Source organism: Homo sapiens, chromosome 8 (genome assembly GCF_000001405.40).
Source record: "Homo sapiens chromosome 8, GRCh38.p14 Primary Assembly".
In the NCBI taxonomy this organism is placed as follows: Eukaryota; Metazoa; Chordata; class Mammalia; order Primates; family Hominidae; genus Homo; species Homo sapiens.
Window position 1 is genome coordinate 38,359,382 of NC_000008.11, and position 13,721 is coordinate 38,373,102.

At 37.9% G+C, this 13,721-nt stretch overlaps 1 protein-coding gene across 2 annotated transcripts in view, besides 1 other annotated feature; it reads right to left on the reverse strand.

Annotated features, from left to right (window-relative positions):
- Window positions 1–13,721, reverse strand: part of NSD3 (nuclear receptor binding SET domain protein 3) — a 112,568-nt gene that overhangs the window by 89,678 nt on the left and 9,169 nt on the right. The window lies entirely within an intron of this gene.
- Window positions 107–276: an enhancer, noted in NCBI's record as "active region_27247". NCBI's record gives its function as "activates an Ori minimal core promoter by ATAC-STARR-seq in GM12878 lymphoblastoid cells {active_cell/tissue: GM12878}" and the evidence as "EXISTENCE:reporter gene assay evidence [ECO:0000049][PMID:35858748]".

The following is a 13,721-nucleotide window of genomic DNA, read 5'->3' on the forward strand; positions in this document are numbered from 1 at the left end:
GACAGGGCACAAATTACACTAAAAATCAATATTCTTCCTTTGAAAGCCATGAGTCCTTTCTAATCACATTTTAACTTCACCCTCACCCCACACATACACAAGAAAAAGCAGAGATGTGGGTGTGGACTTCTGGAGGAAACAAAAAGTAAAAACCAACCACCTGGTTCTAAGAACTTGACCACGCCCCTATGGTACCAAAAAGGAAATGAACAAAAATGTTTGTCTTTTATTCACTGAAAGCAGCTAGAATCGATAGGATCTAATCTAGCCCTCACTACAGACAAAAGCAATAACCAAATTTGGTACAGTGACTATACAACTCAATGTTAACTTTCAAACAAAACGGATCCTGCTTGAAAATGTTTTGTCAAGGAAATAAAAATGAAATTACAAATGCAAGTGATTGTTCTATTTGTCTTTAGATTATTTTATCCTTTGAGGGAACAAACACCATCTATAAAATAGATCTCACTATTTCATCCACAAACAAAATACAGTGCTTTTAGTGGCATCCAAGTGTTATACAGTTGGCAGTTACAGTTATCCAAAAAGTTTGAACCACGATAGTACAAATGCAAATTATTTCTCACTAAAATGTGGGCATTTCCTCTCAAACAATTTTTTTTTTTTTTTTGAGACGGTCTCACTATATCACTGAGGCTGGAGTGCAGTGGTGCAATCACAGCTCATGGCAGCCTCAACTTCCTGGGCTCAGGTGATTCTCCCACCTCAGCCTCCCAAGTAGCTGGGACTATGGGCGTGCACCACCATGCCTGGCTAATTTTTAAAATTTGTTGTAGAGACAGGGTTTTGCCATGTTGCCCAGGCTGGTCTTGAACTCTTGGACTCAAGCAATCCTCCCACTTTGGCTGGGATTACAGCCATGAGCCACTGTGCCAGTCCAAATAATTTCTTAAATTCCCATGGTAATGCATATACTTGGACTTCTCAGATTCAAAGGCCATTATATATTAATTGTATAAGCACTTAACACATTTTTAGTTCTCCTATAGCTTTTTTAATGAAAACTTGAGGATGTCAAAATTATGAGGTTTGAAAAGACTGCTGGTCAAACTCTGAATCATTTAAAGAGGTTTACTACCATTCTGGTTGAGGCTGACTCTTTCAAAGTTTAAGGCTATGATTTAGGGGAAAACATTTTCCTGTACTACTTTTCAGCAGTTATACTAATAAAACATCAATTCTCCAAATGACAAAAAGGGCTTACAGCATTTTAGTATGTAAAACAAATGTTCTATATTAGTAAACCTTATCTGTATATCTTGACTTAAAGGTACTTTCCATGGTAGCCTTTTAGAAAGAACTCTAAGCTGCTGACTAATTTCTGGGTTAAACTGGAAAATCTGCTTGCTTAAAAAAAAAATTTGGGAAAAATACATTCCCTTTATATTTTCATGTAATTTTACTCACTTTCCTCCAAGACGTGAAGCAAATTATGCCATTTTTGTATAATTACTAACAACATGCATCCAAAACAAAGTAGTCTAGCTCCATCTATATATAATAAACTCAAGATGTATCAACAGAAGTTACCCTTCCAGAACAGGACTTGTTATATGACATTTAGTTATTAAATAACGAAGCAAAAGCATAAGAAGGACCACTCTTTTCAATAAATGAAGGAGAAATAATTTTTTTTTTGAGACAGAGTCTCACTCTGTCACCCAGGCTGCAGTGCAGCGGCACAATCTTGGCTCACTGCAACCTCCGCCTCCCGAGTAGCTGGGATTACAGGCACGCGCCACCAAGCCCAGCTAATTTTTGTATTATTAGTAGAGACGGGGTTTCACCATGTTGGCCAGGCTGGTCTCAAACTCCTGACTTCAAGTGATCCACCCACCTTGGCCTCCCAAAGTGCTGGGATTACAGTTGTGAGCCACCACGCCCAGCCTAATTTTGCTATTTTTAGCACAGACAGGGTTTCACCGTGTTGGCCAGACTGGTCTCCAACTCCTGGCCTCAAGCAAGCCGCCTGCCTTGGCCTCCCAAAGTGCTAGGCTTATAGGCACTGCTCCCGGCCAGAAATAAATTATGTTTGATACTTGAACAATAAAAACAAAAGACAGAAAGGGGCCGGGCGCGGTGGCTCACACCTGTAATCCCAGCACTTTGGGAGGCCGAGGCGGGCGGATCACGAGGTCAGGAGATCGAGACCATCCTGGCTAACACGGTGAAACCCCGTCTCTACTAAAAATACAAAAAGTTAGCCAGGCGTGGTGGCGTGCGCCTGTAGTCCCAGCTATTCAGGAGGCTGAGGCAGGAGAATGGAGTGAACCTGGGAGGCGGAGCTTGCAGTGAGCCAAGATCGCGCCACTGCGCTCCAGCCTGGGCTACAGAGCGAGACTCCGTCTCAAAAAAAAAAAAAAAAAAAAAAAAAGACAGAAAGGGACAAGTGTCCTGGATGACAAAGGAAAATATCCAGGGTTGAGAAGCTGGGGGTGTGACGACGGGGAGAGAGGATGCAGGGGACCTCAGGCATTTTTGGCTTAGGAAACAAGTTCTAACCTGTAGTGGAAGAGAGAGGAGCTCCTTTCCAAAGACCTATTATAAACCAGTACCTAAAGACTTCCATTGAGAACCTTCTTGGCTTCTTAATATCACAGGTTTCAAATGATCTAGATTTTTAGAAGGGCTTTTCTTCATATGTTGCAAAACCAAATTATAAGTATTTAATGAAAGCACACTATAAAATTCCAGGAAATAAAAACAACTTAGATGCCAGAGAATATGGACAGACTGAAAGTTACAGGACATGAAACTAGTTCATCCTTGAATTCCCAGAGCCAACTATAGTGCCTGGCACATTATCAATAAACAAATCAATCCAAAACAGAATAGAGTATTACAGTAAGGCGGGGGGGGGGGGGGGGGCACAAGATTGGATTAACAATTTAAAAAGCTTAATATGTGCTAATACCATTAAGCAGTATTATTGAAATATCACAGGCTGTTTTTTAATGGCATGGATTTTGAACTGAGAGTACAGATTTGCTTCTTCCTTCCTAAGAAAGACCTCATAAATGTAACGTCACTCAGAGGAAAACAGAAAAAAAATTTGCCCCAATTATTTTTAAACTTTTTAAAAAGTTTAGTATGTAATTTTTTAATTTTAGCAAGTAATCTTTTCATTGGAAAATTAAAATTAGATATTTTATTAAGTGCTCAAAATACGAGTGTAAGTACATCATCCAAAAGAGTCACGACTTGTCAAGAATTTTTTTCCAAGAAACTTTAAACATTTACATAACCACATTAAATATGCTCTACCATGAATCTAATAATAATTCTACAAGCATATATAAACAATTGACAACATATTGTGATTCATATTTTCCTAAACAGTGGGATATTATGACACGAAGCTCTGTCTTTTGTATCAGTATACAAAACCTACATTCACTATGAACAGCGTAAGAGAAACTGTCACAACATCATCACTGTAGAACATAACACATGATGAGAATCTGAAACTCTAAAAAAAGACTTCCTTTTTTGTATCATTTATAGACTAATACAAAACCTGTGCTCAACATAAAATCAATTTATTTTGGAATGTCACGAGATATTTAGGTGTCTTTGAGTAACTTCAGTGCTCAGAGAATTGCCAAATGTGCGCTGATAACTGAAGTTCAGATTTATCTTTAGTTTCCAAAGTAAAGTGTGGTAGTGCCTTCAGTCATGGAAAGAAAAACAAAACAAAACTACTTCCGTGTTAACGAAGGTACTGCGTACTTCTACATCTTGCTCACTGCTGTATCCCCATCCCCTAGTATGTGAGGGAAGAAAGCTGCTAAATGAACATAGGAATGGCAGCAAACACAATGCTGCAATGGAGAGATTATCCTATACTATTCAGGTGGACCCAACATAATCACAAGGATCCTTATCATCCTTTTGGTGGGAAGGATCAGAGTCAGAGAGAGATTTGAAGACTGCTGACTTTGAAAATGGAGGAAGAGGGCCGGGCATGGTGGCTTATGCCTGTAATCCCAGCACTTTGGGAGGCAGAGGCGGGGGCTCACTTGAGGTCAGGACTTCGAGAGCAGCCTGGCCAACATGGTGAGACTCTTGTCTGCTAAAAATACAAAAACTAGCTGGGCATGGTGGTGCGTGCCTGTAGTCCCAGCTACTCTGGAGGCTGAGGCAGGAGAATCACTTGAACCTGAGAGGCAGAGGTTGCCATGAGCTGAGATTGCACCTGCACTCTAGCCTGGGTAACAGAGTGAGACTCCGTCTCAAAAAAAAAAAAAAAAAAAAAAAAGGGAAGGAAACAGCTAGATAAATCAAGGTAACAGTTTCTCTCCTAGAGCCTCCAGAAGGAACGCACCTCTGCCGCTGACACCTTGATTTTAGTCCCATGTCAGACATCAAGAAATGTAAAAGAATAAATCTGTGTCGTTTTAAGCCATTAAGTTTGTTGTAATTTGTTACAGCAGCAACAAGGGTTTTTCTGAAAGCCTTTCCACTCACTTGGTTGTCTTCAGTTTCAGGAGCATCCCTATAAACAGAAGGAGGGGAATCCTTAGATTCATTAACCTAAGATTTGGTGTACCCAAAATAGAAATATCACTTAAAAAAGAAGTCTTAGGCTAGGCGCGGTGGCTCATGCCTGTAATCCCAGCACTTTGCGAGTCCAAGGTGGGTGGATCACTTTGAGGTCAGGAGTTCGAGGTCAGCCTGGCCAACCTGGTGAAACCCCGTGTCTACTAAAAATACAAAAAAAAATTAGCCAGGCATGGTGATGCGCGTCTGTAGTCCCAGCTACTCAGGGGGCTGAGGTGGGACGATCGCTTGAACCTGGGAGGTGGAGGTTGCAGTGAGCCAAGATCGTGCCACTGCACTCCAGCCTGGGTGACAGAGCAAGACTCCGTCTCAAACAACAACAACAACAACAACAACAACAACAACAACAGAAGTCTTGCCCCATTACAACATAAATAGTTTTATCTATAGATACAGGCATGATGATGTGACCTACAATTTGTCCCTGGACAACCAGGAAAAGCCATTAGATTTTAATTGCTGGTAGGGTGTTACTGTCATCTCTCACATAAGCAGAAGAAATGGAAAGAATTTCTCCCATTTCATTGGCACAGCTGCCGCAGCTTTCTATACTCTGGAGTTTACTCTCATTCTAGGGGTAGACCTGATACAAATAACAAAATGGCAGTCAAGCCACTACTATGCATGACATAATAAAATGCTATGGGTCCTTTTACTACTAAAACACCTATTTAAGATTTTCCATTTCTGACAACCAAAATCTCTGGGCCACATTGAATTTTGTGGCTGATTTTCATAAAAATATATAGGGAGAAAGAAAACTTGTAGTAATAAAGACAGCACTATAGTAAGAATCATTTTTTAAAGTCTTGTTAATTTAAACATATAATAGTCACAGTTTTAAGAAAAGCCCCTCATAGCCATCACAAAGAATTATATTAATCCAACAATTTTTCTAAAGAGTAATCACTAGGTGGAAATTTATTTTGTAAAGATAAATAATGTGCAAGTTTCCTAAATAAACAGACTTTCATTCACATTTTAAAACACTACTCAAGAACAGGCATTTGAGTAAATCCCATAACCTCTGTTTTCCCAAATAAATGAGACTGACTAGTCAAAAACTGACCACGGAAATATTTTCTCATGTTTGTTTCCCTTTTCCAGCTCCATGAGGCAGATAGAATTTATTTAGTATATATTGTATGTCTGGACAAAAGTTTTGTTTTTAATTGAGTTCGCAGAGAAACATTTCTATACAAAATTAAACTAACCAGCTTGAATCACCCACACCAACACTGCCAAGATAAGCAAAAGCTGAGTCTCACCTTGCCTATTCCCAGACTCCAAGTGCCATGTTATATATCTTTCTCCTTGTAGAGTCTTATTTTTGTTTTTGTCTGTGATGTGGTTCACTACTGAACACTAACTATGTACCAGACCCTGTTCTAGATCTTGGGAAATCCAAAGAAATAAGATTCTAGTCTCATGGAGCTAAAATAAACATGGAAATTTCAGATAGTGATATGCTACTATAAAACAGGGTAATACAATACAGGGACGGGGGGCTGGATTCTTTTCTTTGAAGACGGAGTCTCGCTCTGTCACCCAAGCTGGAGTACACTAGCACGATCTCAGCTCACTGCAACCTCTGCCTCCCAGGTTCAAGCGATTCTCCTGCCTCAGCCACCAGAGTAGCTGCAATTACAGGTGCCCGCCATCATGCCTGGCTAATTTTTGTATTTTTAGTAGAGACGGGGTTTCCGCATGTTGGCCAGGCTGGTCTCGAACTCCTGACCTCAAGTGCTGGCATTACAGGTGTGAGCCACCGCACCCGGCTTAGATTCTTATTAAAAAACTAATGAAACCAAAACCAGGAATCAGTCATATAGAGAGGCTGGAAAAAGACAAGGAAAAAGATGATCATCAGGTACTTTTATTTCCTTTGACGTTCACTCTGTTTCAGAGGCTTCTGAGTTATGGCTATAGTAAAAAGATTTAAATTACGGTTTACTCAAGTATTCCATGTAGTATAAAGTTTAAATCTTAAATGTTATGTAAACATAACTGATCCAAAATATACTGAAATGGAACTCTCGGGAGGCTGAGGCATGAGAATCATTTGAACCTGGGAGGCGAAGGTTGCAGTGGGCCAAGATCGCACCTCTGCACGCCAGTCTGGGTGATAGTGTGAGACTCTGTCTCAAAAAAAAAAAAAAAAAAAAAAGCTGAAATGAAGGCAATGCATTCTGTATTTAAATCATTTTGTTGGTCGGCAATCTATAGTCTGCTAGTAATTGCACTGATTAAAAGACTTTTAAAATATTCCAGCTTTCAAACAACTATTACTGATAAGTTATAGTTATCTTTCTTTGCCATGAAGAATTTATTTACCATCTAACGTAGCAAACACACTGGAAAAATGAGATTTTAAACATCTAGCCCACAAAAACACACAAATATAGTAATCACAAGGCAAAGAATGTACAATTATGTTCACATCTACTTAATTCTTTTTTTTTTTTTTTTGAGATAGAGTCTCTGTCGTCGCCAGGCTGGAGTGCAATGGTATGATCTCAGCTCACTGCAACCTTTGCCTCCTGGGTTCAAGCAATTCTCTGCCTCAGCCTCGTGAGTAGCTGGGACTACAGGCGCCCGCCACCACACCTGGCTAATTTTTGAATTTTTAGTAGAGACGGGGTTTCACCATGTTGGCCAGGATGGTCTTGATCTCTTGACCTCATGATCTGCCCACCTCGGCCTCCCAAAGTGCTGGGATTACAGGTGTGAGCCAACGTGCCCAGCCTATATCTACTTAATTCTTTCCCTTCACTAAGAATAGCTAATTCTGGGCTAACCACACGTAGCTATTTAAATTTAAACAAGTTAAAATTAAATTACATTAAAAATTTAGTTCCTCAGTTACAATGGCCATATTTCAAGCATTCAACATCAACATGTGGCTAAGGTTACCATATTGGTCAGTGCAGATACAGAATATTTCTGTCATCATAGAAAATTCTATTAGACAGTGCTGATCTACATTATTTTTCAAATTTTACCTTAACAAAAACATCCTTTAAAAGCTTATATTAAATAAGAATTATAAATTTTTAAAGAAATCTGTTAATATTACTGTGATGCTAGAAAGAAGTCACATAAGAGGAAGTTCAGCAAATAGATCTCTATGCCAGAGTAAGACAAACTCATATACCTAGGGACAAGCAAAATGTCCACAGAGTAGAAGGATGTACTCTAACATTGGTCTTAGAGTCATAAGACTTGAATTTTAGTTCTGCTTCTACCCCTAACTTAGCTGCATAAATTCCGAGGACAGACAGTATCTTTGGGTTTTCATTTAACATCATAAGAAAGGTTGGATCAGGTGATCCACATATATAAAATGACCACGAAAAATGGGAAAATGAGCTGTGATTCCTCCTATTATCAATACATAAGTGTAGGGCTTGAGTTTTCATTCTGAAAAGAATATATATATATATGTGGTTAAAATACTAACTTTTGGCCAGGTGTGGTGGCTCATGCCTATAATCCCAGCACTTTGGGAGGCCGAGGCAGGCAGATCACTTGAGGTCAGCAGTTCAAGACAAGCCTGGCCAACATGGTGAAACCTTGTCTCTACCAAAAATACAAAAATTAGTTGGGTGTGGTGGTGCATGCCTGTGGTCCCAGCTACTAGGGAGGCTGAGGCAGGAGAATCACTTGAACCCGGGAGGTGGAGGTTGCGGTGAGCTGAGATTGTGCCACTGCACTCCAGCCTGGGTGACAGAGTGAGACTCTGTCTCAAAAAAATAAATAAATAAAAAACTAACTTTAAATCTCATCTATCACCTTAACATTATTTAAGATGACCATTATTTGTAATATCAAACAATTATATGAAATTCACAACCAATACAGTTAGTGACATAGATAGGATTTTAGGGAGTAAAATCAGCATGGCCACGATTCTCTTTACAAAATCCTAGTAAGGAATCAAGGTGTGTTAGAGAAGTTGTATGTTTTCTCTTAACTTTTTTTAAACTTTTCTGAGTTTAAACTATTAATAAAGCAAAATATCTTTTTTTTTTGAGACAGAGATTTGCTCTTGTTGCCCAGGTTGGAGTGCCCTGGCACAATCTCGGCTCACTGCAACCTCTGCCTCCAGGGTTCAAGTGATTCTCCTGCCTCAGCTTCCCAAGTAGCTGGGATTACAGGCATGCACCATCACACCCAGCTAAAGGGGGTTACACCATGTTAGTCAGGCCGGTCTCGAACTCCTGACCTCAGGTGATCCACTCGCCTTGGCCTCCCAAAGTGTTGGGATTACAGGTGTGAGCCACTGCACCAGGCAGCAAATTATCTGTAAAGAATAACTGTGCTACTCCATAATCTGTTTAACTTTAGCGTTGTCACCTCAAATATTTTCTGAAATGTGTTCACTTTAAATTTTCCACTAAAAATTTAGAGAAAGATGTTTAGAGAAGGATGATGATTAAAGACATTAAAATATCCTGAATTAGGAAGTAACCTGCGTGAAGTAGAACTTAGTTAACAAAATACAAAAAAGAAAACAACAACAACAAAAAAGTGTTTCATTTAACCATAAATCCTGTCACTAAATTCAATCATACAGTTTTCACTTGACTATGATTCCATTAAGTTATACAACATTTTAGGTGGCTTTGTAGTTCATATTTTTTTCCTGACTAAACCACATTACTATTGAACTGCCTTTTACCAATACAAAGCTTACTAGTAAAACACCCTGTTTCCCTTATCTATCTAGTTTAACCTCAACTGTCTTCGCTTTGTTGCTGACCACACCCAGCAACAACAGACATGGTATTACCACTTGAAGGAAATTACATTATTTTCCAATCCTTTACAGCAAGGGTAGTTGCTCACAATGAAAATTACTACAAACAACTTTCATCAGTCATCTTGTTCCATTCACTATGAAATCTAGTAAACTAACAAGTTCATCCACATATTTTCTTACCTATTTCCTGGACAAACTTTTAAATTATGGTAAAATGGTTTGAGATTGGTTCTTAAAATTTTGCAAGCATTCAAATTTACTTTCTTTTAGCTTGTATCCTCCATTCCCCCAAAAAAGGCAAAAGAGAATGTATGCCAAAGATGATATGTAGTTTTTAAGGCACTAAGCAATTTATTATATCTAAATAATAATTTACTAAGTTTATCTTTTCTATAAAGACCAGTTTGGGTTTTGTTTTTTTTGTTTATCGCTTTAGTATTTTAGGTTCAACATGTAGTATTTTAGTATTCAACATGTAGTTTTCAAAATAAGTAATAAAAGTTAGAAAATTCAGAATTTCATACTATATATCCAAATTTCACATCACCTGTTTGTTTAATCAGAACACCAAGCTTTAGTGAAGCTTTAGCCATCATGAGTTGTAATAAAACAGTGGAAGTAAAATTGGACTGGAAAGTTAACTTCATGTTCAAACTTGAACCAGCATGAATTCTCTCAACAATTAAGAAAAACTCATATAACCTAGGCAAAGATTCTCTTCAGGTATTAGTTGATGTTCAACTTTTAACTTCTATGAAAGTGAGTTTAGCCAATTGAGTTCAGTTCTTCTTCCATTAAACATGTGACTAAAGACTAGTTCATTTTGTGTACACTATTTTTCTTCTATTAAAAAAGTTATTCATTATCAACTATGTGTCTGGTACAGTTCTACGCACACTCTAGTACTTCTAATTTGAATCCCTGTAACTCCAAGAATAATTTTCATTTGCACTTTTAGAGATAAGAACACTGATCTTCAGTGGTAAAGTGAAGTGGGGATAGGAACTCAGATCTCCTTGACTCTTGCCCTATACTTCACTGCCCTCCCAGTTTTGTTTTTTGTTTTTGTTTTTGTTTTTGTTTTTGAGACAGAGTCTCGCTCTGTTGCCCAGGCTGGAGTGCAGTGGCACGATCTCAGCTCACTGCAACCTCTGCCTTCTGGGTTCAAGCGACTCTCCTGCCTCAGCCTCCTGAGTAGCTGGGACTACACGCGTGCACCACAACACTGGCTAATTTTTGTATTTTTAGTAGACATGGGGTTTCACCATGTTGACCAGGCTGGTCTCAAACTCCTGACCTCAAGTGATCCACCCACCTCGGCCTCCCAAAGTGCTGGGATTACAGGTGTGAGCCACCACGCCCAGCCAGCCCACCCAGTTTTTAAAAAATGTTTTGTTAAACGGCTTAAGCGAACATAACAAAAGAACAACTTTCGGGGGGAAGGTCAATTAGAACAAAGCAAACCTCTCTTAAAAGAAAACCATATTTTCTATAAGGTGATAAGTTTGCTACAGTTAACTGTATAGGTAAAACATACTTTCCACAGATGTTTTCTAAAATAAAGTGTTTCTAAATCAAATTTGAATTTTTTAAAAAAATTTTAAACCATACACAATACTCTCTCAATAAAGACATTCTGACTGTCCAGGAGAATTTTTTTTTTTTTTTTTTGAGACAGAGTCTCGCTCTGTCGCCCAGGCTCAGGAGAATAATTTTATAATTCAAAAAAATATACCTCATATTTTGTTTAATCAGCTTAAGCTTAATATGTCAGGTTTTCTTAAAATGGGACGTAGGAGCATCATCTTCTCATGAAGGACTTTCTAAAATCTCTCTCAAATGCATATAAAGTATATATCACACAAGCTGTTGTGTTCCTGTATACTGTACTACTTTAAATGTTATGAATAAATGCTGTTTTTAAAACAAAACTTTATAATATTGCTGGGTTTAAACTGGTTCAAACCTTTCTGGAAATGTTCTAAAATTGATTGTGGTGATGGTTATATAACCCCGTCAACATACTAAAAGCCACTGCATTGTATACTTTAAATGGATAAATTTTGGGTATGTGAATTATATCTCAATAAAACTATTATTTTAAAAAATCTTTCAAGAGAACAGTTTGGAAATATGTATCAAAAGCTTTCAAAATGTTTATATCTTTTAAGTAATTCTACTTCTAGGAATTTATTGTAATGAAATAATCAGCCATATAATTTTTTTTAATGTATAAGGATGTCCATCAACTTACAATATCCCAAAATTGCAAACTGCCTAAAAGACCTTCAACACAGAATGGTAAACAGATAATAGCACACCTGTACACTGAAATTCTATATTGATTTTTTAAATCACAAACATTTATTTCATAATATATTAAATAATAAAACATATTACAAAATAATATGGATGCACAATTCCAACTATGTAAAAAAAATACATATGAAAAAATATTGGAAGGATATAGAACAAAATATTAATAGTAGTTACTTCTAACTAGTAGAATTTTAGATAATTTTAATTGTCTTTATACCTTCTGGTTTTCAATTTCTCTGTATAAACAATCCTTACATAAATGTTATTTTAAAACTAGTCACTTTGGAGAAGTTCAAGTTTTCCATTAAAAAATAAAAACCAACAGGTGGTAATGACATAGAAACCATGAGGTGAATAAAAGCATATTAACTCTACTGCATACACAAAGCCACATTACCTAATTTATCTTTCTAAAAATATCAAATTATGATTACTTCCACATCTAGGAAAACTCAACATACACGTTCAAGATTTAAAATCGCTATCGCCCATGCAGGGGAAAAATTAGCAAGAAATATATTTAACCTTCAGTGGGAGTAAAAAAGAATAACATGCTATTGCACTACAGAAAAGAATTCAAGGATACAATAAAACAAAGCAAGAAGTTTCTCACCACAATCTAATATGAAATACTATATTCTGATGCATTTGAATCTTGCAGAGATCATACAAAAGGAGACCACTTAGAGTGACAAAATTATAATAACCAAATAAAGGCTTTAATTTATAAAAATGCCTTTCTCAAAGTTCACATGGCAGAGTTGTACGCAAATAGACCGTATTCAGCAGGTACTCAGTGGGAAAAAAGCATTCAAATTTTTCTGCTATCCTAATCCTCAAAAATCAACACTTAACCTTTCCAAATACCTAAGAAAATATTCTTGAAGGCCAGGAAAGCATAATGCAGTTTCTCCAGCTTCAAAAGAAATTTGGTTCTCTTGCCCAAATTACAGAAAAGTTAAAACTCAAGAAGTACCAAGGATGAAGGGTCAAACATAGATTGTCATCACTGATTACTTCTCAGGTTAATACTTTTTGAATGGTTCCAATACTGCAAAAGCAGGAGTGTCAAACTCATTTTTGTTAATTAAGATAGTTAAGCTAAGAAATTAACAATATAGACAAATCGACATTTTCTAAGTAAGTCATTTTAGAGTTTGCATGTTAATTTAAAACCTAATCACTGAATCTTACCAAAAAGTGCAACAGAGATGAACTCTAAACAAACAACATTTTGTATAAAATGGCACTTTCTTACAGGATTCAGTATTATTTTTTGTTATTCATCGGTAAGGTACTAAGATTTCAAATCACTAAACACTGACAATAAATGTTAGAAAGCTACCTTAAAAATATTGTTCAGAGACCCCTTCTGGCAATAACAATTAAAAACTGGTTATTCAGTTTTTATATTCGTTGAACTCGCATGCTTATGAATTCTTCAGGTTCTTTTTTTTTTTTTTTTTGAGACACAGTTTCGCTCTTTCGCCCAGGCTGGCGTGTGAGGTGACGTAATCTCGGCTCATTGCAACCTCCGCCTCCCGGGTTCAAGCGATTCTCCTGGCTCAGCCTCCTGAGTAGCTGGTATTACAGGCGCCTGCCACCACGCCTGGCTAATTTTTGTAGTTTTAGTAGAGACGGGTTTCGCCATGTTGGCCAGGCTGGTCTCCAACTCCTCCCCTCAGGTGCTCCGCCCGCCTCGGCCTCCCAAAGTGCTGGGATTACAGGCATGAGCCACTGCGCCCGGCCGCAGGTTCTTACTATTATTAAAAAAAAAAAAAAAACCACCAGCCGGGCGCGGCGGTTCACGCCTGGCCAATATAGCGAAACCCAGTCTCTACTAAAACTACAAAAATTAGCCGGGTGTGGTGATGGGCACCTGTAGTCGAGCTACTCGGAAGGCTGACGCAGGCGAATCGCTTGAACCCGGGACGCGGAGGTTGCAGTGAGCCGAGATTGCGCCACTGGACCTCCAGCCTGGGCAACACAGCGAGACTCCTCTCAAAAAAAAAAAAAAGAAAGAAAGAAAAAAAGAAAAAAGAAAAACCAAGGACAT